At 59.6% G+C, this 26,631-nt stretch overlaps 1 protein-coding gene and 2 long non-coding RNA genes across 3 annotated transcripts, besides 2 other annotated features; 1 reads left to right on the forward strand and 2 right to left on the reverse strand.

Annotated features, from left to right (window-relative positions):
- On the reverse strand, positions 684-11,856 carry CTSD (cathepsin D). Its single transcript, NM_001909.5, has 9 exons — positions 11,721-11,856; positions 9,238-9,397; positions 7,445-7,568; positions 6,898-7,016; positions 5,253-5,485; positions 2,835-2,957; positions 1,923-2,067; positions 1,732-1,830; positions 684-1,599 (listed from the first exon to the last, which is right to left on the reverse strand). The coding sequence occupies exons 1-9, from the start codon at positions 11,786-11,788 to the stop codon at positions 1,432-1,434; spliced, it is 1,239 nt and encodes a 412-aa protein (NP_001900.1). The 5' UTR covers positions 11,789-11,856; the 3' UTR covers positions 684-1,431.
- On the forward strand, positions 8,277-10,415 carry PRADX (PRC2 and DDX5 associated lncRNA). The gene is made up of 2 exons (NR_182291.1): positions 8,277-9,123; positions 9,248-10,415. It is a non-coding gene; the product is annotated as a PRC2 and DDX5 associated lncRNA (long non-coding RNA).
- Positions 11,426-11,515: a silencer, noted in NCBI's record as "silent region_3057". NCBI's record gives its function as "represses an Ori minimal core promoter by ATAC-STARR-seq in GM12878 lymphoblastoid cells {active_cell/tissue: GM12878}" and the evidence as "EXISTENCE:reporter gene assay evidence [ECO:0000049][PMID:35858748]".
- Positions 11,766-12,235: a silencer, noted in NCBI's record as "silent region_3058". NCBI's record gives its function as "represses an Ori minimal core promoter by ATAC-STARR-seq in GM12878 lymphoblastoid cells {active_cell/tissue: GM12878}" and the evidence as "EXISTENCE:reporter gene assay evidence [ECO:0000049][PMID:35858748]".
- On the reverse strand, positions 19,295-26,509 carry LOC105376517 (uncharacterized). Its single transcript, XR_002957212.2, has 4 exons — positions 26,454-26,509; positions 24,860-25,103; positions 19,515-19,951; positions 19,295-19,429 (listed from the first exon to the last, which is right to left on the reverse strand). It is a non-coding gene; the product is annotated as an uncharacterized LOC105376517 (long non-coding RNA).
- Between the last annotated feature and the right edge of the window lie 122 nt (positions 26,510-26,631).

The raw sequence follows: 26,631 nt of genomic DNA on the forward strand, positions 1-26,631 counted from the left end.
ACCTATTAGAACCCCAGGGGCTGCTACCACTGCATCCGGGCACACGCTCCCAACCCCTCCCCTCCCAGCGGAACAAGCGCACCGCGTTATCAGCCCGGGGATCCGTGACTGTGGCAGCTGTGGCTGGAGGGGACTTCTGAGTCCAATCCCTGCAACCAGGGACCCTGGGCAGGCTTGCTTGGTGCCAGCTCAGCTCACTGCACACAAAACCGCTTCTAGGGCCTGGGAGGCAAGAAGGCCCAGCTAGGCCAGCCCCCCCACGCCACCTGGGGCCATTTATTTCCCGGGACAAGAGGGCTGAGGAGGGTGACTGGTAGGCCTGCTCTGAGGGTCCCCGAGAGCAGAAATAGCCTCTGTTCGAGTGCCGTGGCTGCCTGGCTGGGCCACCTCCCTGAAATCACTCCTCAAGGCTGGCACTCACACTAGACACCCTGAAACCCCAGCCAAGGCCACATCCTGCCGGCTACTGCTCCAGACCTGGGAACAAGTCAGTCCCCGCTGGCCGACCAGGCTGGAGCCCATGGGCTGGGCAGGGCAGGGCAGGGGGCCATAGGCCCGGGGCACCCCAAATGCTTGTCCCGGTGCTGCCGAGTCAGCTGCCGTGCTGGCTTCGCACTACCCACCCTCCTTCCCCATCCCAAGTTGGAGCCACCCCTGACCAGGCACAAGAGCACACCAGCACAGAGGGGAGGCCGGAGGCCAACAACTGTATTTCCATGTCAGCTGGGGCTCTCAGCCGCCCAAGGGGAGGACAACAGAGGTCAGCTGCAGAGGAAGGCTGGCACCAGCCCCCAATCCCAACCCCACCTCCAGGCCAATACATGCCCCTGGGACTGGCTCAGTCCCAGCACCACCCTGCAGGCTCCAACAAGGTGGGTTTTGTCCCCTCTCACTCCTTCCAGCTCATCCTCAGGCCTCTAGCGGCCTCATCCTCAACGGGCCCGGGACACTGAACAGGTAGGGTGGCAGAGCCCAGCTGGGCCCAAGCTGGGCAGAGGGGCCCTCAGGCAGGGCAGGTTTCCAAGGGAGGGCCCGGGAGGACGGCCTGGTGTGGGGTAGGGGCTCAGCCCAGCGGGCGCTGGTAGGGCCGGGGAGGGGACTCCCTGGAGATGAAGGGAGCCCCAGGATACACGAGCTCGGCTGCCAAGCTTGGGTGGGGTCTTCCAATGCACGAAACAGATCTGTGCTCTGGATCAGCTCTACCCCCACCAAACAGATGGAGAGACAGACAGGCAGGCAGCATTTCTGAACCCAGGGAGGGGAAAACCACAGAACAAAACAGCAAGTCGGGCTTGGGCCGCCGGCTTCCAGGGCGCCCAGGACAGTGGGCGGGCGAGTGTGTGGGTGTGTGTGGGAGGGGCCGCTGGGCCAGGGGCCTCCTGCTCTGGGACTCTCCTCTGTTTCTGTGCTGGCGCGCGGACGCCTTGGGAACTAGAGGCGGGCAGCCTCGGCGAAGCCCACCCTGTTGTTGTCACGGTCAAACACAGTGTAGTAGCGGCCGATGAAGACGTCGCCCAGGATCCAGAGTGGCCCGCTGGGTGGCGGGATGTCCATGCCCATGAAGCCGCTCAGGCAGAGGGTCTTCCCGGCCTGCGACACCTGGGACGGCCCTGGTGGTCAGTACCCAGGCCTAGCACCACCCGCCCCCCCACCTGTTGCCCGCTCACCTGGAGCGTGCGCCCCCTCACCGCCCGCTCACCTGGGGCGTGCGGCACCCCATTGCCCGCTCACCTTGAGCGTGTAGTCCTCTGGGGACAGCTTGTAGCCTTTGCCTCCCAGCTTCAGTGTGATCGCGGGCAGGGTGGACACCTTCTCACAGGGGATCATGTACTAAGAGGGGTCACAGCAGTGTCAGGGTGGTAGTGGTGGCCTTGGGGCTCCCCCTGCCAGCCCCAGCCCCAGCCCCAGCCCCCGGCGCTCACCTCGCCCTGAATCAGCGGCACGGCCCCGATGGCCTTCTGCAGCTCGCGCACCTCATCCACCGGGCCCACCATGAGGGAAGTGCCTGTGTCCACAATGGCCTCACAGCCCTCCTTGCACAGGGTCAGCCCGCTGGCCACCTCCACCCTGCGGGGAGTCAGGGCGTGAAGCCCCTGCCGGGACTGGAGTGTGCCCTGGGGGCCCAGTGCCCCTCCCTGGGAGCCCCTCCCCTGGCTGGGCTGCACTCTCCTCCCCTCAGGGCTCCTGGAAGCACAGCCGGCTGTAAGCCCTCCAGGGAAGAGGGTGGGAGAGGAGACACAGAGTGGTAGAGGGGGTGGGAGACCCTCAGGTGGTGGTGAGGGGCATGGAGGGATGGAGGGGATGGAGGGGCATAGAGGGATGGAGGGGATGGAGGGGATGAAGGGATGGAGGGGCATGGAGGGATGGAGGGATGGAGGGATAGACAGATGGAGGGGATGGAGGGTCATGGAGAGTCACAGAGGGATGTGGGGATGGAGGGATGGAGGGATGGAGGGGATGGAGGGATGGAGGGATGGAGGGGATGGAGGGATGGAGGAGATGGAGGGTCATGAAGAGTCACAGAGGGATGAGGGGATGGAGGGGATGGAGGGCATGGAGGGATGGACAGAAGGGATGGTGGGTCATGGAGAGTCACAGAGGCATGGAGGAAATGGAGGGATGGAGGGATAGAGGGAATAGAGGGGATGGAGGTGATGGGGAGCATGGAGGGGCAAGGAGGGGCATGGAGGGCTGGTCTGACCCCATCTCTTTCTTGCCCAGCTCCCACTACTCCCCACATGCAACCCCCACCTGCAGAACCGGGGTCCTCCAGGGTCTCCGCACACCGCCCCCGCCCACAGAACCCAGGGGAGCCGACTGCAGCCACTACTCACTGGTCCAGGTGGACCTGCCAGTAGGCCTTGCGGGTGACATTCAGGTAGGACAGAGAACCCTTGTAATACTTGGAGTCTGTGCCACCCAGCATCAGCTCACCCCCAGGCTGCGCATCTGGGTCCCTAGGAGGAAAAGGGAGGAGTCAGCTGCCACGCCACCCCCCAAGCACAAGAGTGCCAGGTCAGGAGTAAGAGGGTGAATGTGGCAATCAGGGAGAGCTTCCTGAAGGAGGGGCCTTTCTGAAACTGCAGGGATGGAAAGGCCCAGAAGGCAGGAGGAGGGACAGACTCCCTTCTTCCCGGGGTAGGGCTGCTCTGCGTGGGCCCAGCCTGGCCCAGAAGAGGTTTTCCTCAACCCTCAGGTTCTCCTGGTCTGCTCAGGAGCCAAGGTTCAGCCAGACATCAGGGTCAAGGCTAGCGGCAGACAAGGAAGTGAGTGCCAGGAGCTCCACTGGGGAGGACCCTGTCTGTCTGTCTGGAAGAAAAAACCAAAGAAGGCTTCCAGGAGGGAGTGATGGCACAATCTGGGAAGTTGGGATGGCTGGTTCTGGCCGCAGGGCCTCTGCACTGGCTGCTCCTGGGAACACCCTCCACCTGCATCCCCGAGCCACGTCCGCTCATCTCCCCCTCATCCAGACCACTGATGGCCAGCCAAGGTGCTCCTGGGCAGGAGCGCACTGCACTTCCTAGGACCTGCAACCCATGTCGCCCGGGTTTGTTTCTAAACATTGCTCAAGTACAGCTTTCAACGCAGCAAATCCTGCCGGTCCTGGTAGAGAAGCTCTCTGTGTCTGGGGCGGTTCTGCCATCCCGCCAGAGCGTCTGCAGCTAAGCTGGCCACCATCCCACTGCCTGTCACTCGAGGCAGTGCCAGGCCTGACCCAGTCCTCCCAACACCGATTGGGGCCTCCGCCCTCCTCCAGCCTCCTCCGCCTTTGCCTCTTGTCAACACCTCTGCAATCCCAAGTGTAGAAACCTGATCAGCGCCTCCCACCCCTCCTCTCCTCACCAAACATGCTTTCAGAAGCCCTCAGACCCTCCCTCCTGCCTGGCTCCACTTCCTGCCCAAGCTGCTGCCTTGAGACTACACCTGGGCACTCACAACCATGTGCACCTCCCCCACCTGGGCACTCACTCTGTGTGCCCCTCCTTCCACCTGGCACTCATGCCTGTGTATGCCTCCCCCGACCTGGGTACTCATACCGTGTGCCCCTCCCCCACATGGGCACTCATGCTGTGTGCCCCTCCCCCACATGGGCATTCATGCCTGTGTCCCCCTCCCTGACCTGGGTACTCAGGCTGTGTGCCCCCTCCCCATGTGGGCACTCATGCCTGCATGCCCTCTTGCCCTCAGGGGACCCCTTTTCACCTGGCTGCCTCCCCTGTGCCCCAAGGCTCCTGGGGAAATGGCCCAGCCGGTTCACCTGTGTCCTGGCCTCTAGTGAGCAGCTTAGCCCTGGGTGTTGCTAAGGAGTATTCACTGCCCAGGCAAGGGGCAGAGCAAAGAGGCCCAGCCAGCCCTACAGCCGGAATTCTGCCGGAAGCGATCCAAGGTTAGGGGTCAGGCCCAGAGACTCCAAGTGCCAAGTGAGCCACGTGAGGTAAACCTGCCCCTGTCAGCCCTGGAGAGTGTGGGGCAGTGACCAGGCGCAGCTCAGGGCAGGAGGCCGCCGGCTGACACGCTGCCCACCCCCAAAACAAAAGCCCCCAACCCCCAGTCACCCCTCTTATGTGGAACCCTCCACTCAGGTCTGCCCCGAGAAGAGGAAACTAACTGAGTCCGACGTCCCCTTCCCAAGGTCACCTGACCATGGGTCACCCAAGCTGGAGCAGCGGCTGCAGGTGGGGGCCCTGGGGGAGAACCCTTTTCCCAGAAGGAAGGGCCCCCTATGTTCCTCCTCGAGGGCAGCCGGCACCTGCTGGGGACGCCCACAGAGCTGCTCGCAGCGTGGTGCCGGGGACCCATACGCACCCAAGGTCACCTCCCCGGGGATCCCCGGTCCCCTGGGCACCATGACCCTCTCCACCATCAGCAACCCCGGGACCAGGACCACATGTGCCCATCACCAGGTCTGGGGACCGACGGGCCGACTGAACCAAGAGGAACTGCCACGACCCCTGACCTGGGTCCATTCTCATAGGAGGGAGGCCCAGCTGCCAAGGTCCCAGGACCCACAGCCTGGCCCGAGCCCCTCCCACTGGGAGACCCCGGCCAAACAGCTTTCTCTGTGCTGCCGCTTACTCCTCTGCAGAAGGGCGGCCAACCCCCGCCTCCCGGATGCCCTGAGGTCAGAGGTCAGGAGCTCTGGCACAGCAGCAGGGAGGGGGCAGCACTGAGAGGGGGTGCCTAGAAGGCTCCCCGTCCAGCCCCGCCCTGCCTCCCAGCAACGCGGAGCGAGAGGGAACCCACACGCCCACCTGCTCAGGTAGAAGGAGAAGATGTTCTGGTCCACCAGCTTCTGCTGCATCAGGTTGTCGAAGACGGGCAGCACGTTGTTGACGGAGATGCGGGGGTAGGCCATGCCCAGGATGCCATCGAACTTGGCTGCGATGAAGGTGATGCCTGGCTGCTTGGTGGCCTCCCCAAAGACCTGCCTCTCCACTTTGACACCGCCCAGGGCAGAGGCTGACGACGCTGACTGGCAGGGCACCTGCAGGCCAGGGCAGAGTCAGTGGGCAGCAGACAGGCTGAGCCCTACACCACTCCCTGAGCATGAGGCTACAAAACCCAGTTCAATGGATGCCCATCCCACACACGATGGGGCCCAGAGGGCCCAGAAGAAAGGGCTGGAAACCCTGAGCTGAACACCGCTGGGGATGGGGACACGGGGTATGGCGGGGCCCTCTTCGTGGAAGTCATCAGGGCTCGGTTTACACGAGATGGGAACCAGGCAGGAGCACAGACGGGCAGGCCCCTTGCTCCGCTCCCTGCTCCGACCTCTTACTCCCACCACCAATGACAGGCAGGTCCTGCTCCTGCCCTCAGCGCTGGGAACAAGACACAGCCTGGGCCAGGAGCCCGAGAGATGGGGAACCTGCCGACCCCATCCCAAGCTCACAGCCATACTGCCCCCTTCCCCTTCTCTGCCTGTCCCCTCCCCCAGCCCTGGATGAGGCTGCAGAGAGAGAACACGGCCAGAGCAGGATGTGGGAAGGGAACGACAGCTTGAGGCTGACACGGGGCGGAGGGGGCAGAAGAGGGCGGAAGAGGGCAGACGGGGCAATTTCCTGTTCAGGCTGAGCAGGGTCCAGACAGGAGGGCTCTGAGGAGCCCCCAGTACAGACTGGACTCCAGCCCAGCAGGGAACTGTTAGGAGCAGCTTCAGCTGGAGGAAGGGGCCCTCTTCCCGGGTCCCTGGGCCTGCAGGGGGGCTCTGCTGCCCTCCTGGCCCGCTCCAGAGCTGGGGGCTGTGTCACCATCCCGTAACTCCTGAACCCCTTGTGGCCTGGTCCACCCCCAGCAGACAGCTCCGAGGTGAGAACTCACTGAGGCCCAGGCAGGGTGACAAGGGCCAGCTCACCCTCTCCTAGGGCAGGGAGTTGCTCTGCACAGGGCCCTGAGGATGGTGGATGCAGGCGGGGCCCCCAACAGCCACTGCTGCTCCCCCTCCCTTGCCCTCCCAGGCTCCTGCCGGTGACTCTCCGCCAGCAGCCCCCACAGCGGGTTCCTGGTACATCCTCCCAACCCCAAGCCTCCCCAAGCCCTCGGCCTGCTGCAGGGACCCTGTGCAGCCCCAGGTCCAGCCCTCAACACCTGCTGGCACCTCAAACCCAATGTGCCAAAAAGAGCCCGATCGATCTGCCCTGTCCTCCCTCCCACTCATTGTGGCCTGACTCCGGGGACCCCTGCCCCTGTACCCCCTGGGTTTGAGGCTGTCCCTCCAGCCTGCACACAACCAGGCCCATTCCCAGACCCCTCCTCACCCTGCTGACTGCCCCGGCCACCTGAGGGCTGGGGTTGGGCTGGGATCACCGAGCCCTCCCTTTCAACCACATACCCACGGTGGGTGAACCCCACACCCTGGCACCCTCGAGTCCTGGGAAAGGCCCCAGAGGGACTCACCGACACAGTGTCCTGGCTCAGGTACCCGGAGAGGCTGCCCGAGCCATAGTGGATGTCAAACGAGGTACCATTCTTCACGTAGGTGCTGGACTTGTCGCTGTTGTACTTGTGGTGGATCCCTGCCCCGGGCGACAAGGGGGCCCGCCGGTCATCCCGCAGCCCACGCCACGGCCTTAGCCCTCCCATCCCCCTACAATCTACCATGGAGCCCGCACCCCCCAAGCTGCCTCCCCAGGGTGGGATTTGGAGGGGATCTGAGGCCCACCATCATGCCAGAGCCCCGGGACTGTGGGCTGTGACCCCGGGCCTCCCTCCCAGCCACAGCCGGCTCCCTCTGTGGCCACCCCAGCCCCAGCCCTGCTGAGAGCAAGACCACAGCTGGTGGTTCACCCAGAAAGTCAGTGGCTGGAGCAGGGTGGAGGGCTGGCCTGGCTCACGGGGCCAAGAGGCAGGAGAATTGCGTTGCCCAAGTGATTCCTGAGGCAGCCCTGCAGCGACATCCCGGAAGGGCAGGACCTGGGCGACGGGGCCAGGGTTCGTGACTCACAGCAAGCGATGTCCAGCAGTTTGCAGTGGATGGAGGGGACCCACAGGTTGGAGGAGCCCGTGTCGAAGACGACTGTGAAGCACTGGGGGGGCGTCCCGATGCCAATCTCCCCGTAGTACTGGGCCTGGCAGGGGACAGGGTCCGTCAGGGATGGGAGAGGGGGCCCCATCTCCCCACTGGGCCTCAGAAGGCCCGGCTGTCCCCAGAGCCAAGGCCCATACTGGAGGGAGGGGCATCACGGGGCCCACAGCTGCCAACAGCCACCCACTCCCACCTGCTCAGCCTGCAGGGAAGATGGGCCAGGTCCCCAGCCCTCGGTCCTAATGCCCACGGGTACTTGGGGTCTCTAGACCCCTGGCTTCTGTCACCTACCCCTGCTCAATACATGGTGAGGCTGAGGACTTCCCCACGGAAAAGACAAGGCCAGAGGTCAAGCCAGGGTGGGGACAGACGTGGCCCTCAGCCTGAGCCCCGGGTGCAGGAAAGCCCGGCCTGGAAGACTCCCCTGGTGGCCCGCAGTCCAAGGTCTGAGAAAGGAAGTGACTTCCTCCCCAGGTTGGGGCCATGTCAAGGTCTGATTCTGGGTGTCTCAGTGCCTGCCCTGCCCTCCAGGGTGAACCCCAGGCTTGGAGGGCTTCCAGGCAGAGGGGTTCAGCTGGTCAAGGGGAGAAGGTAAGCCTTACAATCACTGCCTGCCCAGCAACCCTGCCTTAATGGCCCAGGGCCTCAGTTTCCCCGTGTGTACACAGGGATAGCAGGCGCAGGTGGGGGTGCTGACTCAGGGATCAGGCAAGTACAAGGGGTCCCATGCCGCCGAGCCTCTCAGGAGGCAGAGAGTAAGAGGGTCCTGGAGTTTGGGGTCGCCTGGGCGCCCGCTTCCCCCAGGATTGGAGCCTGGGCCACCGTCAGCCACCAGATTCCTGGCACCAGCCCAGCCCAATGTTTCTCCAACCGCCTGGCTTCACGGAGCAGCAGCAGCTGCTGACTCATGGCCCCACAGAAGTGACCACTGGCAGGGGGACACTCAGCAAATTTCCATGTGTGTGTGTGCATGTGTGCGCATGCGTGCATCTGCTTGCTCGCGCGCTAGGACAATCAGGAACTGGCCAGTCGGGACCAGGCACACGGCGCCTGGTTCCCCCCAGGGCCCCCCTGGCCCAGTCACATGCCTGTGAGTCTTGGGCTTCCTGTCACAGCCAGGACTCGGGCCAAGCAGGACAGAGGGCAAGGCTCCCCCACAGTGGGCCAGAGCCCCGAGGCTGGACAGTAGGCCCTGGCCTCGAACTGACCCCATAGAGCTGGGACCAGGCTGACCAAGCCCCAGCTTGCTAGGTGGCTTCCAGAGTGCTCCACCTTGGATCCTGCTTCCCCCTGAAGGAGTAGTGGGCACAGGAGGGGCTGTTGCGAGAGGAAGAAGATGGGGAGGGGCTGGGGAGGCCACGAGTCACCACAGGCCTCCCAGCAGGACAGCAGTGAAAGGCTCCAGGTCAGCCGGCCACACTCAGGCAGGCCCAAGGACCGCCCCCTCAGGCGAGCTGGCACCAAGGCCCGAGGCCACTCCCAATCACCCTCCCAGGCCCTAGCAGGACCAAGACCCTGCAATGACAGGGGCCAGTGGCAGGAGGTTCCAGAATGGGGAAGAAAGGAGTGTGGCTGAGCCGGGACGCCACCGTGGCCAGGTGAGCCACTCAAACTGCGCTGCTGAGAACAGGAGGTGGGAATGTTCCCCATACTGCCACGGAGCTCTCCTGACAGTGGCTCCGCTTGCAGCAGGGCTAAGACCTCATACTCACGTCCATGTAGTTCTTGAGCACCTCGGGAATGGGCCCCTCGGTCACGGCTGGCACCGCCTGGGAGTACTTTGAGACGGGGCCTTTGGCAATCAGGTCCTCCACAGAGCCCCCAACCTCCGACATGGTCCGGCGGATGGACGTGAACTTGTGCAGCGGGATCCTGTCAACCACGGGTCGGGGCATATCAGGGAGGCCCTCCCGCCTGCCGGCCGACGCTGCCAATGCTGCACATCCACCTGGAGGCCCCTGGGGAATCTCAGAGTCGCCACAGCCAAAACCAAACTCCTGCCTGTCACCTGGAAACTGCTGGCCCAGCTCCCCCAAGTCAGTGAATGGCAACCCATTGCCCCCCGCCAGGTTGCACAGGCCACAGTCCTAAGAAGTGGTCACCCGCCACCCACCTCAGCCCCACACACCCAACCTGGGGGCCAGTGTGCCCAACCCTCCTCTCCTCAGCCATTCTGGAGGCTCCAAAGCCCCCAAGGGTCTCCCGTCCTCCCTCTGCACCTGCGCTGGTCTCTTCCAGGATGGTGGCCAGCATGGCTGCTCAGGGTGCTGGCGGGTACCTGTCACTCCTGCCCAAAGTGCTCTGAGGCAGCCCACTGTACCCAGCCCCCATCACACCTGCTCTCCACCCCCAGACACCTGCACGAAGGTGGCCCCACCTCCAGGCTGGCACTGGCAGCTCTGCCTGGCCTCCTCTGGCCATCAGATGGGCCCTCCACACCACCTCCAGAAGCCCTCCTTGACTACCTGTCCTCCTCCACATGGACCCTGTGGCTGCCCAGTGCCCTCATCCCACATCTGTTTCTGGGCATCCGCACCTCTCCTCACTCCATGCGGCTCCACGAGGTCCAGGACTGCACCTGGGGCCTTAGAGGCTTCTGTGCTGCCCCCCCCACCGCCCTGCCTCCTCCGACAGCTGCACTCAGGGTACCCCTCCAGAGTCCTGTCACCCAGCACACCGCCAGCCAGGGTGCAGGAGGGAGCTCCAGACTGAGATCGGGGTCCTGAGTTCTAAACCCAGGAAGCGAGTAAGAGAGAGAGGGGTCCCTGCTCCTCCCCCAGGGCCACTGGCCTTCCCCTTGGTGTGAACCCACTCCTTGTTCCAAGGAAGCTCCCCTGGGCTTTTAATCACTTAAATAAAACCTCTTCCCTGCCCCAGGGACTTGAGAGTACAAGGTCATAGCTGGCTTTTCCTGGCTTGTCAGGGGCGTGATCCCGGAAGATGAGATTATTGCCTAAGAGCTGGTGGGCTGGAAGAGCTCCAGGTTTTGTCCTGGGGGAGGGACACGCCCTCCAGGGACCAGGAAGCAGGTGTAATAGTATCAGTCGCACAAGAGCTGGAATCGGGTGAGGGCTTGGATTCAGCTACCCTTCCCTCCAAGAAGCCCCAGGATCGTTTCCCCTCTGCTGTGTCTGTCCTCCTTGGAGAGGGGAGGCCTGTGGATAGGCTGGCAAGGTCAAGGCAGGCTCAGGCTTGTGGCTACTCCCCCACAACGACTTTAATTGGGGCTACCCGCCCCCGGGCCATTCCCCACAGCCTTTGGTGAGGCTCAGTCCTACCCAGCTGGCCCAGCCAGCTCCAGCCCCTGCAGCCTTCTGACCTCACCCACCTGCCAAAAGGCAGTGGACCCATCGCAGATCCCAGGTCTCCCACAAAGGCCCAGAGCAAGGGTGGGGCAGGTGCCCAATGGGATGGGTCAGCATACCCCTCCTGGGAATGCGGGCTGCCTTGCAAGGGCTGGGGAGGGGGTCAAGAAAGCAGACTGCAGCATGGCCCTCCTCTGCCCAGCTGGTCAGGCATGGCCGGGCCCCATCCCATCCAGGCCCAATCGGTGGCCTCACCTGGCACAGGGGATCGGCCTGAGGAGCGTGTGGGCCTCACTACAGCACAACCCCAGGCCCGGGGTGGGTGAGCCGACCCACTCCCCATGCCTCCTCCTCTCTCAGGGACATGGGAACTCCTAGGGTCTCGAGGGGTCTCCCAGCCCAGGGCCTGTGATAAGAGCCGCTGGAGCAAACTTTTAAAGCCCCCAGTTCACAGGTGGTAAAGGGGTCCCTAAGGAAATGGACTCGCCCAGACTCGGGGGCTCTGAGGCCTGACCTAGGTCTCCAGCAACAAGGGCGCTCAGTACAGACCCCAATTCCACCTGCCCCGAATGAGCACTACCTCCCCCCGCCCCGCCCCGTCTCCAGGGAGGCTGCGGTCAGTCTGCAGTCCTCAAGGTACAACCCAGGGTGGCATATGGGGGAGAGGCATCTGGCGCCTCTGCCCCGGGTCCCCTGCACCTCCGGAGCCCGGCGCCCCGTAGGCGGGTGGTCCGTGCAGGAGGCCGCGCAGGGCGGCACAGGTGCATTCCAGCGCGGGGGGCGCAAGGGGCTCGTGGGGGCCACAGGGGAGCGCGAAAGTCACCACAGGCCCCGGGACCTCGGCGCCGCGACCCCTGCCCGTCCCTGAGCCCCGGCCCCTGAGGCTTCACCTGACGAGCGCGGAGGCGGGTGCAGCCAGCAGGCAGAGGGCGAGCGGCAGAAGGCTGGAGGGCTGCATGGCGGCGGCGGCCGGGTCGGAGAGGGTCGCCGAGGCCGTGCGCTTATAGCCGGGATGACGCCGCAGTTGGGCCGGATCAGCTGACCCGCGTGTTTGCACCCGGACCGGTCACGTGGGCGCGGCCGGCGTGCGCGGGGCGGGGCGGAGCGGGGCCTGGCCTGGGCGGGGCAACCTCGGCGCACGCGCACAGCGCCCGGGCGGGGGGCGGGGTGGTGGTGCGCCTGCCGCGCCTACAGTTCCCGCCGCTCGCGCCCGCGGGGTCAGCCCGGCCCAGCTTCTGGGGTCTGGAGGATTCCCGTTTCGGCCTGGCCTGGGGTCGTGGGGCGGCCCACCCTGGAGGGCCCCGCGGGGTGACCCCTGTCCCGGCCGCCGCGGCCGTCCCCGCGTCCAGGCCTGCGCGGGGCGCTGCGCCGTGGGCTCCTGCACCTGCTCCTCCCGGCGCCCCCTCGTCCCCCTCCGAGACGCTCCCAGACATCCTCTCTGGAAGCCTCTTGCAAACCAAGGTTAAATTCAAAGTCCCCAGCCCACCGAATGGACCCTCCGCTCCTCTACAGGGCTTCCAGAGAAACCTGGAAAACCAGCTCAGGCCCTGCCGCAAAGGGGGTCGGACCCGCTCCGCCCTCTCCCTCTGGGCGCTGTGCTTAGAGACTCAGGCCTCACCGATGGCTCTAGCCTCCAGATCCCAAATTCCAGCCTCACACTGGCACAGCCTCACGTGGCAGACAGCAGGCCCGAAGGCAGGCAAAGTATTCCACCCTAAAATACATTCCTTTCACATGTTTTGATATGGCACTGCACAGCTGTCTCTTGAGGGGGCGAAATTCGCGTTTTCTAGAGAAGCTCCTTCCCTTAGGAGGTCGGGCACCTTTTGTCCACTCACGTCAACTCTTTTTTTTTTTTTTTTTTTTTTGAGACAGAATCTCGCTCTGTGGCCCAGGCTGGAGTGCAGTGGCATGATCTCGGCTCACTGCAACCTCTACCTCCTGGGTTCAAGCGATTCTCCTGCCTCAGCCTCCTAAGTAGCTGGGATTACAGGCGCGTGCTACCACGCCTGGCTAATATGTATATATACACACACGTATGTATATATATATATACACACACACACATATATAGTGTATATATACACATATATATACGTATATATATACACTATATATGTATATACATATATGTATATGTGTATATATGTGTATATATACATGTATATGTGTATATATGTGTATATATATACATGTATATGTGTATATATATACATGTATATGTGTATATATATACATGTATATGTGTATATATATACATGTATATGTGTATATATATACATGTATATGTGTATATATATATACATGTATATGTGTATATATGTTTTGTATTTTTAGTAGAGATGGTGTTTCACCATGTTGGCCAGGCTGGTCTCGAACTCCTGACCTCAGGTGATCTGCCTGCCTCAGCCTTCCAAAGTGCTGGGATTACAGGCGTGAGTAATCCCACTTTAACTCTTTAGGCAAAACATAACTCTTTCAACCACTTGCCAATCAGGAAATCTTTGAATCCCCTATGACCTGGAAGCTGCCCCTGCCAACCCTGTTTCTAGGCTGAACCAATGTATATCTTACATATGTTGATTTATGGTTTTGGCCTGTAACATCTGTCTCTGTAAAATCCGTAAAACCAGGCCGGGCATGGTGACTGTTGCCTATAATCCCAGCATACTCGGAGGCCAAGGTGGGAGCATTGCTTGAGCTGAAGAGCTTGAGATCAGCCTGGGCAACATGGTGAGACCCTGTCTCTACAGAAAAGACCTGAAAATTTTAAAAAAAAGTATAAAGCCAAGCTGTTACCCAGCCACCTTGCTCACATATTCTCAGGACCTGCTGAGGTGGTTTCACAGGTCATAGTCCTCACATTTGCTCAGAATAAATATCTTCAAATATTTTATAGTGTTTGGCTTTTTTTCAACAACACTCCCTATACCCAGGGTACCCAGATGGACCTCATCCTTACTCTCCAAGTGTCCCCTGCCCAAGCGCCCACTCTCCACCTCCTCAGAGCAGCACCTCACTGGGCCCTGCCCTGGCCACCCTGGGCCCTCCTCCCTTAGCCCAGACTTGCCCATCTCCAATGTGGCACCATCCCTGGAACCCCATCTCCAACGTGGCACCGTCCCTGGAACCCCGTCTTCAACGTGGCACTGTCCCTGGAACCCCATCTCTAACGTGGCACCGTCCCTGGAACCCCGTCTTCAACGTGGCACTGTCCCTGGAGGCCTGTCTCCAACGTGGCACCGTCCCTCTAGGCCCCGACCTCAAAGGTGAGCAGTGTATCCAGGTCAGAAACTGGGTCTCCCGACACTGAGCCTGCAGAGGCCATGGTGACAGTTGCCCCAGGACTTCACCATTCTCGTGTGCCCTGGTCCTGCCTGGCATGGGGGACTGAATTAGGCCTGTTGGAGGGGAGGGCCCGGTCATTCCCCAGATGCTCTGGAGCACACAGCCAGGCGGGAGGTGCGGTCGCTGTAAGTAGGAAAGGGATATTGGGACAAATCATTTAAGGCAGGTCCAAGTCACACAGGAAATGGAGCCAGGGGATGTGCTCAACAGCGACCTCCGCAGGAAGGTCCCTCCAAGAAGGTGGCATCTGAGCTTGGACCCAAATGAAGGATGCTTCCCCATGCTCTCACCCAGGGTGCGTTTTCTCCTCCCAGCTCCCTGCGAGGTAGATGGGCCCAACCCCGCTTTACAGAGGCAGTGAGGTTCTGTGGTTCTCGGCGGGCGGGATTGGAATTCCCACCTTTTCTGTAACCAAATATATCAGGACCTTGGCCCTTGCGGAACCTCCCCGAAGCTGGATCTGCCTGATGGCCACAAATGAGTGGCTGCCCCCTCAGCCCCACCTTCCCGCCCATTTAGAGCCCTTCATCTGAGGGGGTTCTAAGCCTGAACACAGAAGCCCGAGCAGACAGACACCCTTGCCCTCAGAATCTGCCCAGCTGCTGGGGGTCCACACCTTGCCCTCAGAATCCGCCCAGCTGTTGGGGGCCCACGGCCAGCCTGGACCTGGCACCTGGGGTTATCACGTGCTTTCCAGTGGGCTGGGATCTTGGAGATGTCAGCCGACCCTGGGGGACTGGACTCCAGCAAGGGGTGAAAGATGGTCCCAGCTAGTGTCCCCTGAGCCACCCTGCTCGGTCCCCAGGTCCAGTGGTGGACGAAGCATTTGGTGTCCAGGATACTGAGATACGCACCTGTGAGGACGCATGCCCACAGAGCGTGGCCGACACTCCACCCAGAGGTCCCGGTGAGCCGGTGAGGCTGCGAGCCAGTGGGTAGTGCGGATGGCCAGTGGGGCCAGAAGCACAACGTGGCAGCGAGCTGTGGGGTGTGTGGGCCGGTGCTAGCCAGGCTAAGAGCCTTGGACCATCCCCTGAGACAACGGGGCACTGTTGAGCAAGGACCCTCTCGGGGCCCCAAGGGTGAAGAGGCCCCACCCCACCGCAGATACCATCTGTTATTCTGTTTATTACAGAGGGGGCATTCTGCCTGGGCCCGCTCAGCTTCCCAGCTCCTGGAGCAGAGCCCGGCACGTGGTAGGTGCCCAGTAATTATGTGTGGGATGAATGCCTGGGTGTTCAGGGTCCCCGAGGGACTGACCCACCAGGCAGGGTGGGACCCTGCTGGCATATTGGGTGAAGGTCAAGGGAGTGGCTTCTAATCCCCTTGCCTCTGGCTCACCCGGGCAGACCCTCTCAATCTGGGCCTCACCTCTGTCCCTGGAGAGTTGAGGTTGGGCTAACGGTCTCTGGAGCCCTTGCCTGCCCCTGCTAGGAGCTGAGGGTACAGAAGCGACCCCTGGCCTCCTTGTCTGGCTCAGATTCCCCAGACTCCTGCACCTGCCAGGCCGATTCAGGAGACCCTCTTCCCACCAGGGCTGCCTTCAGGGCTCCTGGGCCAGTGGGTGCTGCAGCGTGTCCAGGCCCCGCCTCTGGCAGAGTGCAGGGGACAGGGCCCTTTTTCACCTTTCACACCCTTCGGCTGACCGCATGCAGGGACATGGGCTCCATCTGTGGGGTGCTCGGCCCACCTGGGGAGAGGAGGCAGGAGGTGGGGGCCAGGCCCAGGCTCCATCTCAGCCTTTGCCATCGCAGCCCACTGAGCTTCCCACCACGGAGGGGCCCCAAGCTTCTCTCTGGGAAGCCAGCCACAGGACGGGGGTCGTGGCTTCTCCGGCTCCCTCCTGGCTGTGTGGAGAGTCAGGGAATCAGAGGATGGCAAAGTGCCCGAGAGGAAAGGGGCAGAGAAGGGAGTCGGACCTGCTGGGTGCCCGCTGCATGCTGACACCTAACAGGGGCAAGCAAGGGCTGGAGGCTGTCAGCCCAACCCTGCCTCTCCATGGGGAGTGCTGAATCCCAGACTGGAAAGGGTCTGCCTGGATGGGTCAGTCCCTTGGGAGCCTTGAGAATCTGCTCATTCACTCAACATGTGAGTGTCGGGCACCTACCACGAGTAGACGCTGCTCTAGGAAATCGAGAAAACAATAGGGAAATTCCCACCCAGTGCCGTTCATATATAGACAGGGGTGGGGGTGGGGAGGTGTGTGGAGGGGCAGAGATTAAAATGAAGCTGGGGGGTGGGTGGGACGCCCACGCAGGGCTTGGGGAGTGGAACGTACCAAAGAGGAGGCTGCTGCAGGGCACAGAGAGGGGCAGGGGAGGGCCCTGCGGGAAGAGAAGCCTCTTCTAATCGACCTTTTTTTTTTGAGGTGGAATTTCATTCTGTTGCCCTGGCTGGAGTGCAGTGGCGTGATCTCCACTCACTGCAACCTCTCCCTCCCAGGTTCAATCGGTTTTCCAGCCTCAGCATCCGGAGTAGCTGGGATTACAGTTGCCCACCACCACGCCTGGCTAATTTTTGTATTTTAAGTAGAGATGGGGTTTTGCCATGTTGGCCAGGCTGATCTTGAACTCCTGACCTCAGGTGATCCGCCCACCTTGGCCTCCCAAAGTGCTGGGATTACAGGCGTCAGCCACCCCGCCAGGCGCTCTAATCAGACTTGAAGGAGGTAATAAACCAAAGGCCTGGTCAGGAGCCGCTGACATGAGAACAGGAGAGCAGAGGCCATGAGGCAAAGGGAGCCGGCCTGGAGGTGGGGAGGAAAGGAAGCAGTCCGAGGTCAGAGAGAGGCAGTGAGAAGGGGTGAGACTCTGGATGCACTTTTGAGGTAGGGCCAGAGAATTTCCAGGTGGATTATTCGAAACCACCTTTGCAAAATTATGGCTGAGATAGCGGAAGAGCTCTAACTGAATCAACTCCATCTTGCTTCTAATCTCAAGCCATCCTTGTTCATTCCTGGGTGTCGGCTGAACTGTCTTTGAGAGGAATTTAGTTTATAGTTTAAACAAAGATGTTAACAGCCCTTTCCCCAAGCAGAACTCCTTCTTGCCTGGGGACTAGATGGCCTTTGTAGGACTAACATTAGCCACAGGGTTAGAAATTATGGTTTAGGAGTCATGCAGCTGGAGGCTACAAGATTCTGACCCTCTCTCAACTGCTCCTAAGATCAGCGCCTAAGATATTTTGCAGACCTTGCACTTGACGGATCAGCTGGCACCACCCAGATCAATAAACTGGCTCATCTGATCTTGTGGCCCCCATCCAGGAACTGACTCACCGCAAGAAGACAGCTCCAACCCTCTGTGATTTCATCCCTGGCCAATCAGCACTCCTGCCTCACTGGCTTCCCCGTACCGCCAAGTTGTCCTTAAGAACTCTGCTCCGCAGCACACCAATGTGGCACATGTATACATATGTAACAAACCTGCACGTTGTGCACCTGTACCCTAGAACTTAAAGTATAATAGAAATAAATAAATAAATAAATAAATAAATAAATAAATAAAAACAACAACAACTCTGCTCCATGAATGCTTGGGGAGACTGATTTGAGTAATAATAAAACTCCACTCTCCTGCACAGCTGGCTCTGCGTGAATTAATCTATTGCAATTCCCCTGTCTTGATGAATGGGCTCTGTCCAGGCAGCAGGCAAGGTGAACCCCTTGGGCGGTTACAGATTGGACTGACGGTGTGTGATGGAGGGGCCAATACTGACATTCCACGGCCTACCCAAAACCCTAGAAGGATGGCCTTTTATTGGCTGAGATGGGAACAGATGCAGGAGTAAGAGTCTTGGGGAGGAAGGCCAGGAGCTCAGTTTTGGATGCTTCAGATTGAGACAAAGCATGTGGGGCAACCAGGTGATTCTGCTGCATGGCAGCAGTGATTTGAGTTGTGAGTCCAGGGAGAGGTCGGGGCTGAGACGGACATGAGATAGTCATCAGTGCCATGTGTTGTGGTGATAAGATTGGATGGCACCAGGCTGAGTGTAGCTAGAGAATAGAAGAGGTCTAGGGACTGAGCCCAGGGGTCTCCCAACTTTAAGAGGTTAGCGGATTGAGGCTGGGTGCGGTGGCTTACGCCTGTAATCCCAGCACTTTTGGAGGCCAAGGCGGGCAGATCACTTGAGGTCAGGAGTTCGTGCCCAGCCTGGCCAACATGGTGAAACCCTGTCTCTACTAAAAGTACAAAAATAGCTGGGTGTGGTGGCAGATGCCTGTAATCCCACCTACTCGAGATGCTGAGGCAGGAGAATCGCTTGAGCCTGGGAGGTGGAGGTTGCAGTGAGCTGAGATTGTGCCACAGCACACCGGGCAACAGAGCAAGACTCCATCTCAAAAAAAAAAAAAGGAAGAAGAAGAAGAGGTTAGAGGATTGAGCAGGCACCAGCAAAGGAGGTGAGGAACCATCTGGAGACAGGAGAGGCCAGGAGGGTGGGGCCCGTAGAGCCGGCCGAAGAAAGTGGTTCAAGGAGGGAGTGGCTGCTGTGTTGAGTGGCTCTGCTGATGGCCTGTGGAAGATGAGCATTCACCACAACGTTTCACAATTTGACCTTGACAAGACCTGTTTTAGTGATGTGGTGGTGGTGAAGTTTAAGAGAGAATGACTGTCATATTCAATCATCAAGACAGTGTGGTATTGACACAAAGATAGATGGGTGGACAGGAAGGAGGAATCTCAGGTATACAGTGTCAAGGTGACATGGAAATGCAGTGGAGGAAAGGCTGATCTTTTCAGGCAATGGAATGGAAGGGTCTCGATCCCTCCCTCATACCATACACAACATTCAATTTTAGATCAGTTAGGGATGTGATGTAAATGGTAAATCCTTTAGGGAGGAAAAAGGCAAAGAGGGCCACCTTCATGATCTTGCCAAAGAGAATGGAAAGAAAAGCCACACGCTGGGAGAAAAGATTTGCAAAACACATATTTGATACAAGACTTGTATCCAAAATAGGCAAAGAACTCTCAAAGCTTAACAAAAGAAAATAACCCAATTTAAAAAGTGAGCAAATCGTCTGCTCAGACGCCTCACCAAGGAAAAAATGCAGCTGGCAAATAAGCGCACGAAAAGATGCTCAACATCGTACGTCGTTAGGGAATTGCAGGTTAAAACAACAGTGAGACACCACCACATACCTGTAAGAATGGCCAAAATCCAAAACACTGACAACGCCAAATGCCGGGGTGGGCGTGCGGCAACAGGAAGTCTCATGCGTTGCTGGCGGAACTGCAAAACGGTGCAGCCACTTTGGGAGACAGTTTGGCAGTTTGTTACAAGGCTTAAATGTACTTTCATCATACCATCCAGCAACTGCCCGCCTCGATATTTACCTCGATAAATGAGTTGAAAACTTATGTTCACACCAACACCTGCACACGAATGTTTAGAGCAGTTTTATTCACCGTCACTAAAAACTGGAAGCAACCAAGATGTCTGCCTAGAGGTGAGTGGACAGACAAACTGTGGTCTATCCAGACATCGGAATATTCTTCAGCACTAGAAGGAAATGAGCAGGCCGGGGATGGGGCTCACGCAGGCAATCCCAGCACTTTGGGAGGTCGAGGTGGGCAGATTACTTGAGCCCAGGGATTTGACACCAGCCTGGGCAACATGGTGAAACCCCATCTCTATAAAAAAATACAAAAATCAGCTCGGCTGCTGGAGGGAGCTTGAAGTCTCAGCTACTGGAGAGGCTGAGGTGGGAGGATTGCTTCATCCTGGGAGGTGGAAGTTGCAATGAGCTGAGATTGCACCACTGAGCTGCAGCCTGGGCAACAGAGAGAGACCCAGTGTTAAAAAAAAAAAAAAAAAAAGCTACAAGCCATGAAAATCCATAGAGGAACGTAAGTGAAAGAAGCCAACCAGTAAAGGCTACATACTGTCTGATTCCATCTCTATGACATTCTAGAAAAGGAAAAATTATGGAGACAGTGAAAGGATCAGTGGTTGCCAGGGTTTGGGGAGGGCAGATGAATAGGTGAAGCACAGAACATTTTTAGGGCAGCAAGACTGCCGTGTATGATACTGTAATGGTAGAACAGGACATTATGCATTTGTCAAAACCCACAGGATGTACAACTCAAAGAGCGAACCCTGCTGTAAACTATGAACGTTAGTTAACAGTAATGCATCCTTGCATCAGTGATCATCACTTATAACAAATGTGCTGCACAAATGCAAGATGTTGATCATGGTGGCAGTGTGTGTGTGTGTGTGTGTGTGTGTGTGGGTGCGTGTATGTGTATAACTTCTGTTCCTCGGCGGGGGAAGGAAGGGGGCAAGGGGTCCTTCTGCAGCCCTACGGCTTAAGGGACGGCTTGAAGGTCAGATTCCCTGGATGGGGTCAGGCGCTGGGTGTGGAGCAGGGAAGTGGTTTCTTCCCCAAGTCCCCCGCCAACCCCAGGAGGTAGGAGAGGGAGCGGCTGAGATGCTGAGTCACCCCTGCTCCAGTCCTGCCCCTCCCTCCTCTTAGGGCTGAGTCACTGCACTCTCAGAGCTGGGGCCACCATGACCCTCAAGAGAAAGGGGGCTGCGGCACCCTGGGGCTCCAGCCACAGGCAGCTTTAGTTCTGCAAGAGCAGTTGAGGAGGCCAGGGAGGGAATTAGCTTTTTGTCAGCTGACTTTGGACAGGACTGGGGCTGGTGGGGGGAAAGGTGGAGGCTGTGAATGGCTGGCACAGTTAGGGCAGGGGGAGGGGCTGCCCAGGCACAGGTGGGGGAGGGGAAGGGATGCTGGGCACAGGTGGGGGAAGGGAAGGGAGTGCCCAGGCACGGGTCGGGGAGGGGAAGGTGGTGCCCAGGCACAGGCGAGGTTTGGGGGAGAGGGTGTCCAGGCACAGGTGGGGGAGGGGGAGGGGCGCCCAGGCACAGGTCAGGGAGGGGAAAGGGGTGCTGGGCACAGGTGGGGGAGGGGGAGGGGGAGGGGGGTGCCCAGGCACAGCTGTCTGGCTTCCCTCCAGGTCCAGGACATGGCATCTCTGGGTGTCCTGCTGGGAAGGGACCCAGCTTGGCTGAAGGTGCACTGTGCCTTTAGCATCCCCCCAGTCCTCCACCCTGAGGTTATCCAGCTCACCCACCCTGGCCGCTGCCCCTGACCTTCAGTCTGTCTCTCTGTGCAAGGAAGAGGAGTGGCATGCAGGGCTCACAGTTGCTGGAGGCCTCTGCTGTGTCCTCTTCCAGGAGCCTCAACCTCTACCTGCCTCCAGAAATGAGCACCCCCGAGTCCTGAGCTTACTGTGGGGCCCAGTTCTGCACTGGCTGCCGGGGTGTGCGTTTCTGGGCATCCCCCAGGGCTGGACAGGCCTGGGTGCTGTGGAGGAGAGCCGGATGCCAGTCATCAGTTGGGGTTGAACTGGATGACCTTTTAAGCTAACCTCCTGCTCCCCACCCTCTGCATACACCCTGTTCGGGCACCTGACCTTCCAGGATCACAAATGTGTAATAGGAAAAAACCCAAAAGCTTTAGGGTTCAGCAGTCTCTGAGGGCTGCAGTCTCAGGGCACTGATGAAAAGACCAGGGTCCCAGTGGCCCACAAACCCTCTGGATTAGGGGCTTCAGCTCCAAGGACTGAGCCCTGAGCCATGGCCTTCCTCCATCATGGCTTCCCTGGGAGGGCCTGGCAGGCACATGGAGGCCTCGGGAGACCCCAGGAGCCCACAGGTATGGGTGCACCGTGGCAGGCGGCCACAGAGCCCACTGGGCTCTGCAGCTGGAATAACTGAATACGCAGCTCACTGTCCCCCAAGCTTGGTTGGGGACTCTTCCTTCATATTTTAACAAAATCCACGGCACCTCTGGGATGCCGGCGGCTGCTGCACACTGGGGACAAACAAGACAGATGCAGACCTGCCTTCATGGGGCAAATAGGAGCCAAAGCAAGTGCTCAACCAATAAGAGATGTAGTTCCAGACTGTGGTGTGTGCTGAGGGGAACAGCTGGGGCCGGGCTGCCTCAGAGACAGTGAGGAGGTTGGGGTGTCTATAGGGATGACTGAAGGCCTTCCTCAATGACGGACAGGAGCCAGCCTGAGAATGGAATGAGCTGGAGGGACCGAGAGGCCTCCATGGCTAGGAAGGTGGGAAAGGATGTGATGAGGTGAGGTCAAAGGGGTGATGGGGGCCCGCCAGCCAGGGGATGCATCTGGCACAGGAGTGGCTTAGCCAGGCTGCAGGGAGGCCCAGGGAGGGAGCTTCCCTGCCCTGGCTTACTGGGGAGACAAGCCCGGCGCCCAGGAAGGGATGCGAATGTACATGGACTACCCGTGCAAATGCTTATGGTGAAATGTTCTGTGTCAACTTGGCTGGGCCACAGTATCCAGATATTTGCAAACGCTAGTCTAGATGTTTCCGTGAAGGTGTTTTTCAGAGGTGATTCTCATTCCCATTTAAATCCGTAGACTTTGAGTAAAGCCGATGATGTGCCAGTGTATGGTGGGCCTCAGCCAATCAGCTGAAGGCCTTAACAGAAAGAAGACTGAGATCCCTGAGGAGGAAGGAATTCTGCCAGCGACAGACTCGGGACTCACAATGAGGCATCAACTCTTCCCTGGGTCTCCAACCTGCCCTGAGGTTTTAGACTTGCTGCCTCCATAATTACACAGGCCAACTTTAAACAATAAATCCCTCTCTCTCCGCATATATACCTATCACACCCCATTGGTTCTGTCTCTTTGGAGGACCATGACCAGTACAGATGGGCTCAGGGAAGGCATCCCCAAGGGGAGGGTCCTGCCCTGCAGGGGTTTGAAAGCCGGGCAGCCATGCCGGACAGGCCCACGGTGCTGGCCTAGCCAGGGGTGTGAAGGGGAGGGCCTCCGGCAGGGGGGCGGCTGAAGCATCTGGTCTGCAGGCTTTGGAGGGAGGGCAGGTGAGGGTTGAGCCCAAGCAATGGTCGACTAGGAAAGGACAGAGGACAGAGAAGTGATTGGCCTGAGCGTAGGGTGGTCATTCACCTGCAGCGTGGCCAGGGGCTCCGGGTCCTCTGGGTTCGAGGGGATGAACTAAGAGAGCGGCATTAAGAATGGGACAGAGGGCAGACGACAGATACTAAGGAGAGGGGATGGAGGGGGGATGGAGAGGAGATGGAGAGGGGGATAGAGAGGGGATGGAGAGGGGATGGAGAGGGGATGGAGAGGAGATGGAGAGGGGATGGAGAGGGGATGGAGAGGAGATGGAGAGGGGATGGAGAGGAGATGGAGAGGGGATGGAGAGGGGGATGGAGAGGGGATGGAGAGGGGATGGAGAGGGGATGGAGAGGGGATGGAGAGGAGATGGAGAGGGGATGGAGAGGGGATGGAGAGGAGATGGAGAGGGGGATAGAGAGGGGATGGAGAGGGGATGGAGAGGGGATGGAGAGGAGATGGAGAGGGGATGGAGAGGGGATGGAGAGGAGATGGAGAGGGGATGGAGAGGAGATGGAGAGGGGATGGAGAGGGGGATGGAGAGGGGATGGAGAGGAGATGGAGAGGGGATGGAGAGGGGGATGGAGAGGGGATGGAGGGGGGATGGAGAGGGGATGGAGAGGGGATGGAGAGGGGATGGAGAGGGGATGGAGAGGGGGATGGAGAGGGGATGGAGAGGGGATGGAGAGGGGATGGAGAGGGGGATAGAGAGGGGATGGAGAGGGGATGGAGAGGAGATGGAGAGGGGATGGAGAGGGGATGGAGAGGGGATGGAGAGGAGATGGAGAGGGGATGGAGAGGGGGATGGAGAGGGGATGGAGAGGGGATGGAGAGGGGATGGAGAGGGGATGGAGAGGAGATGGAGAGGGGATGGAGAGGGGATGGAGAGGGGGATGGAGAGGAGATGGAGAGGGGATGGAGAGGGGATGGAGAGGGGATGGAGAGGGGATGGAGAGGAGATGGAGAGGGGATGGAGAGGGGATGGAGAGGGGGATGGAGAGGAGATGGAGAGGGGATGGAGAGGGGGATGGAGAGGAGATGGAGAGGGGATGGAGAGGGGATGGAGAGGGGGATGGAGAGGAGATGGAGAGGGGATGGAGAGGGGATGGAGAGGGGGATGGAGAGGAGATGGAGAGGGGATGGAGAGGGGATGGAGAGGGGGATGCAGAGGTGGATGGATGGAGAGGGAATGGAGAGGTGGATGGAGAGGGAATGGAGAGGTGGATGGAGAGGGAATGGAGAGGTGGATGGAGAGGGAATGGAGAGGTGGATGGAGAGGTGGATGGAGAGGGGGACGGCAGCGTTTACTTCTTCCCCTCTGGTTCTCCTAGAAATAAGGATGGCAGACAGGTTCCAGCGCGAGTCCCATAGGAGCAGAGCTGCCCACACAGTGGGTGGCTAAAACGACACATAGTCATTCTCTCACGATTCTGGAGGCCGGAAGTCCAGACTCAGTGTCGCTGGGCTGAAATCGAGGTGTCAGCAGGGCTGGTTCCTTCTGGAGGCTCCAGGGGTGAACCTGTTCCTTGGCCTTGCCCGTTTCTAGAGGTTGCCTTGGCTGGGCCTTGGCTGGGCCCTACCCACATCTTCAAAGCCAGCACTCTAACCTGCTTCCATCTTCTCATCGCCTTCTCTGCCTCCTCCCCTGCCTTTCCCTCCAAAGGACCCCTGTGATGACCTGAGGCCCACCCCAATAATCTAGGATAGCCTCCCATCTCAAGATCTGTTGAGTCACATCGTCAAGGTCCCCTTGACCTGCTAAGGCCACATCTTACCGAAGTCAGGGATGAGGATGTCAATGTCTCTGAAGGAGGTGTTATTTTACCCACAACGCTGCCATTTGTTGAAATGGAGGATGTTGGGTGAGGAAAAGGGGTTCAACTTGGGGCCGAGAGAGTGTGCAGTGCCCATGGACTGAACTTGCAAGTGGAGGTGTCCCCTGGGTCTGCAGGATGAGGCCAGAAGCAAGGCTGGTGGAGTTCAGACAGAGCTCTGGAAGGGACCAGCTGGTGGTGGCATCTGTGTGAAAACAAGGGCAAGCCAGAGGAGTAAGGGCAAGGGGAGGGGCCTGAATCCTGAAGCCCCCTGCTCCAGAACTGGAGTGTTGAAGCTTGCGGTGGAGAGGGATACACTGAGAAAGGCTGAGCTGAGGAGCTGGGGCTGGGCTGGGTGGGATGAGTGATCAGGGCTGAGCTGGTAGGATGGGACCATCAGGGCTGAGTTAGGTAGGATGGGACCACAGGGGGCTGAGCTGTTGGGAGGGGGCCATCAGGGGCTGAGCTGTTGGGAGGGGGCCATCGGGGGCTGAGCTGGTGGGATGACACCACAGGGGGCTGTGCTGGTGGGATGGGACCATGGAAGGCTGAGCTGGTGGGATGGGACCACGGGAGGCTGAGCTGGTGGGATGGGGCCATCAGGGGCTGAGCTGGTGGGATGGGATCATTGAGGGCTGAGCTGGGTGGCATTGGATCATGGGATCTGAGCTGGTGGGATGGGGCCATTGGGGCTGAGTTGGGTGAGATGGGGCCATCAGGGACTGAGCTGGGTGGGATTGGATCATGGGGGCTGAGTTGGGGGGATGGAGCCATCAGGGTGATGTGGTGGGGATGGGGCCTCTGGTGTTGGGTTGGGTGGAATGGGCTGCTTGGTTTAGCTAGGGCGGTCCTGGTGGTTGATGGTTCTGCCCCAGTTCAGACAGGCTGGGTTGGCCTGAGATGCTTGTTTCTGATGTTGGGCTTGTGAGTGTCAGGAAGAGTTGGGCAATGCCTGTGGCTTTCCCCTAGGGGCTCTTGGGACATCTGAATGTCCCACAGAACAGAGGCATGACTTGTGCCTCAGTAGCTGGAGGGTGTTGGAGCAAGGGGCCCTCCCCTGGCCCCAGGGGCCTCAGGCACTGTCCAAACATCTGCACTCACCTCCACCCCCAGACGTGGCCAGTGACCACCCTCTAGCCTCACACTGGGCCAGCCATTCTAAAGGGGCCCTGACTTCCCCACCCAGAAGGGGCCCAGGCCATCTGGCCTCCAAGCCTCCTCAGTCCACCCCAAGAAGTCCTTGCAGCAGAGCCACAGGGAGCGGGAAGGGCCACCACATCCTTGCCCCATGTCTTGGTGCAGCCACCAGGGTAGGGCCACACTGACCCCGTCGTGACCTCATTGTGGGGGTGCGAAGGGAGGGGAGAACCGGAAGTCCATGGAGCCTGGGCATGTGCTCTCCCTTCTCTTCTGGGAGAACCTGTTCTGCTGTGGGCTGATCTGGTCCCACTCGAGGAAAAGGCCTTATCACCCTCCTGCAGCCCTCGCCTACCTCCCACCCACAGCCAAAAGGCCTGTTCCCCAGGGTGGGACGGTGGTGGCAGTCAACACTCACCCTTTCTCGGGATGCCAGCTCCTCTGTGGTACCCTGCCTCTCCCAGGCAGCTGGACAAACGGGTCTGGGGCTGTGACACCCCCTCTCTTTGGAGCAGTGACTCATAAGGGCAGGGAGTGGTGGGTGGGGACAGGTGGCCCCTCTGTCCTGTGAACAATGCCCTGATTCTTCCAGCCTG

The sequence above is a fragment of the Homo sapiens genome, chromosome 11 (assembly GCF_000001405.40).
Source record: "Homo sapiens chromosome 11, GRCh38.p14 Primary Assembly".
In the NCBI taxonomy this organism is placed as follows: Eukaryota; Metazoa; Chordata; class Mammalia; order Primates; family Hominidae; genus Homo; species Homo sapiens.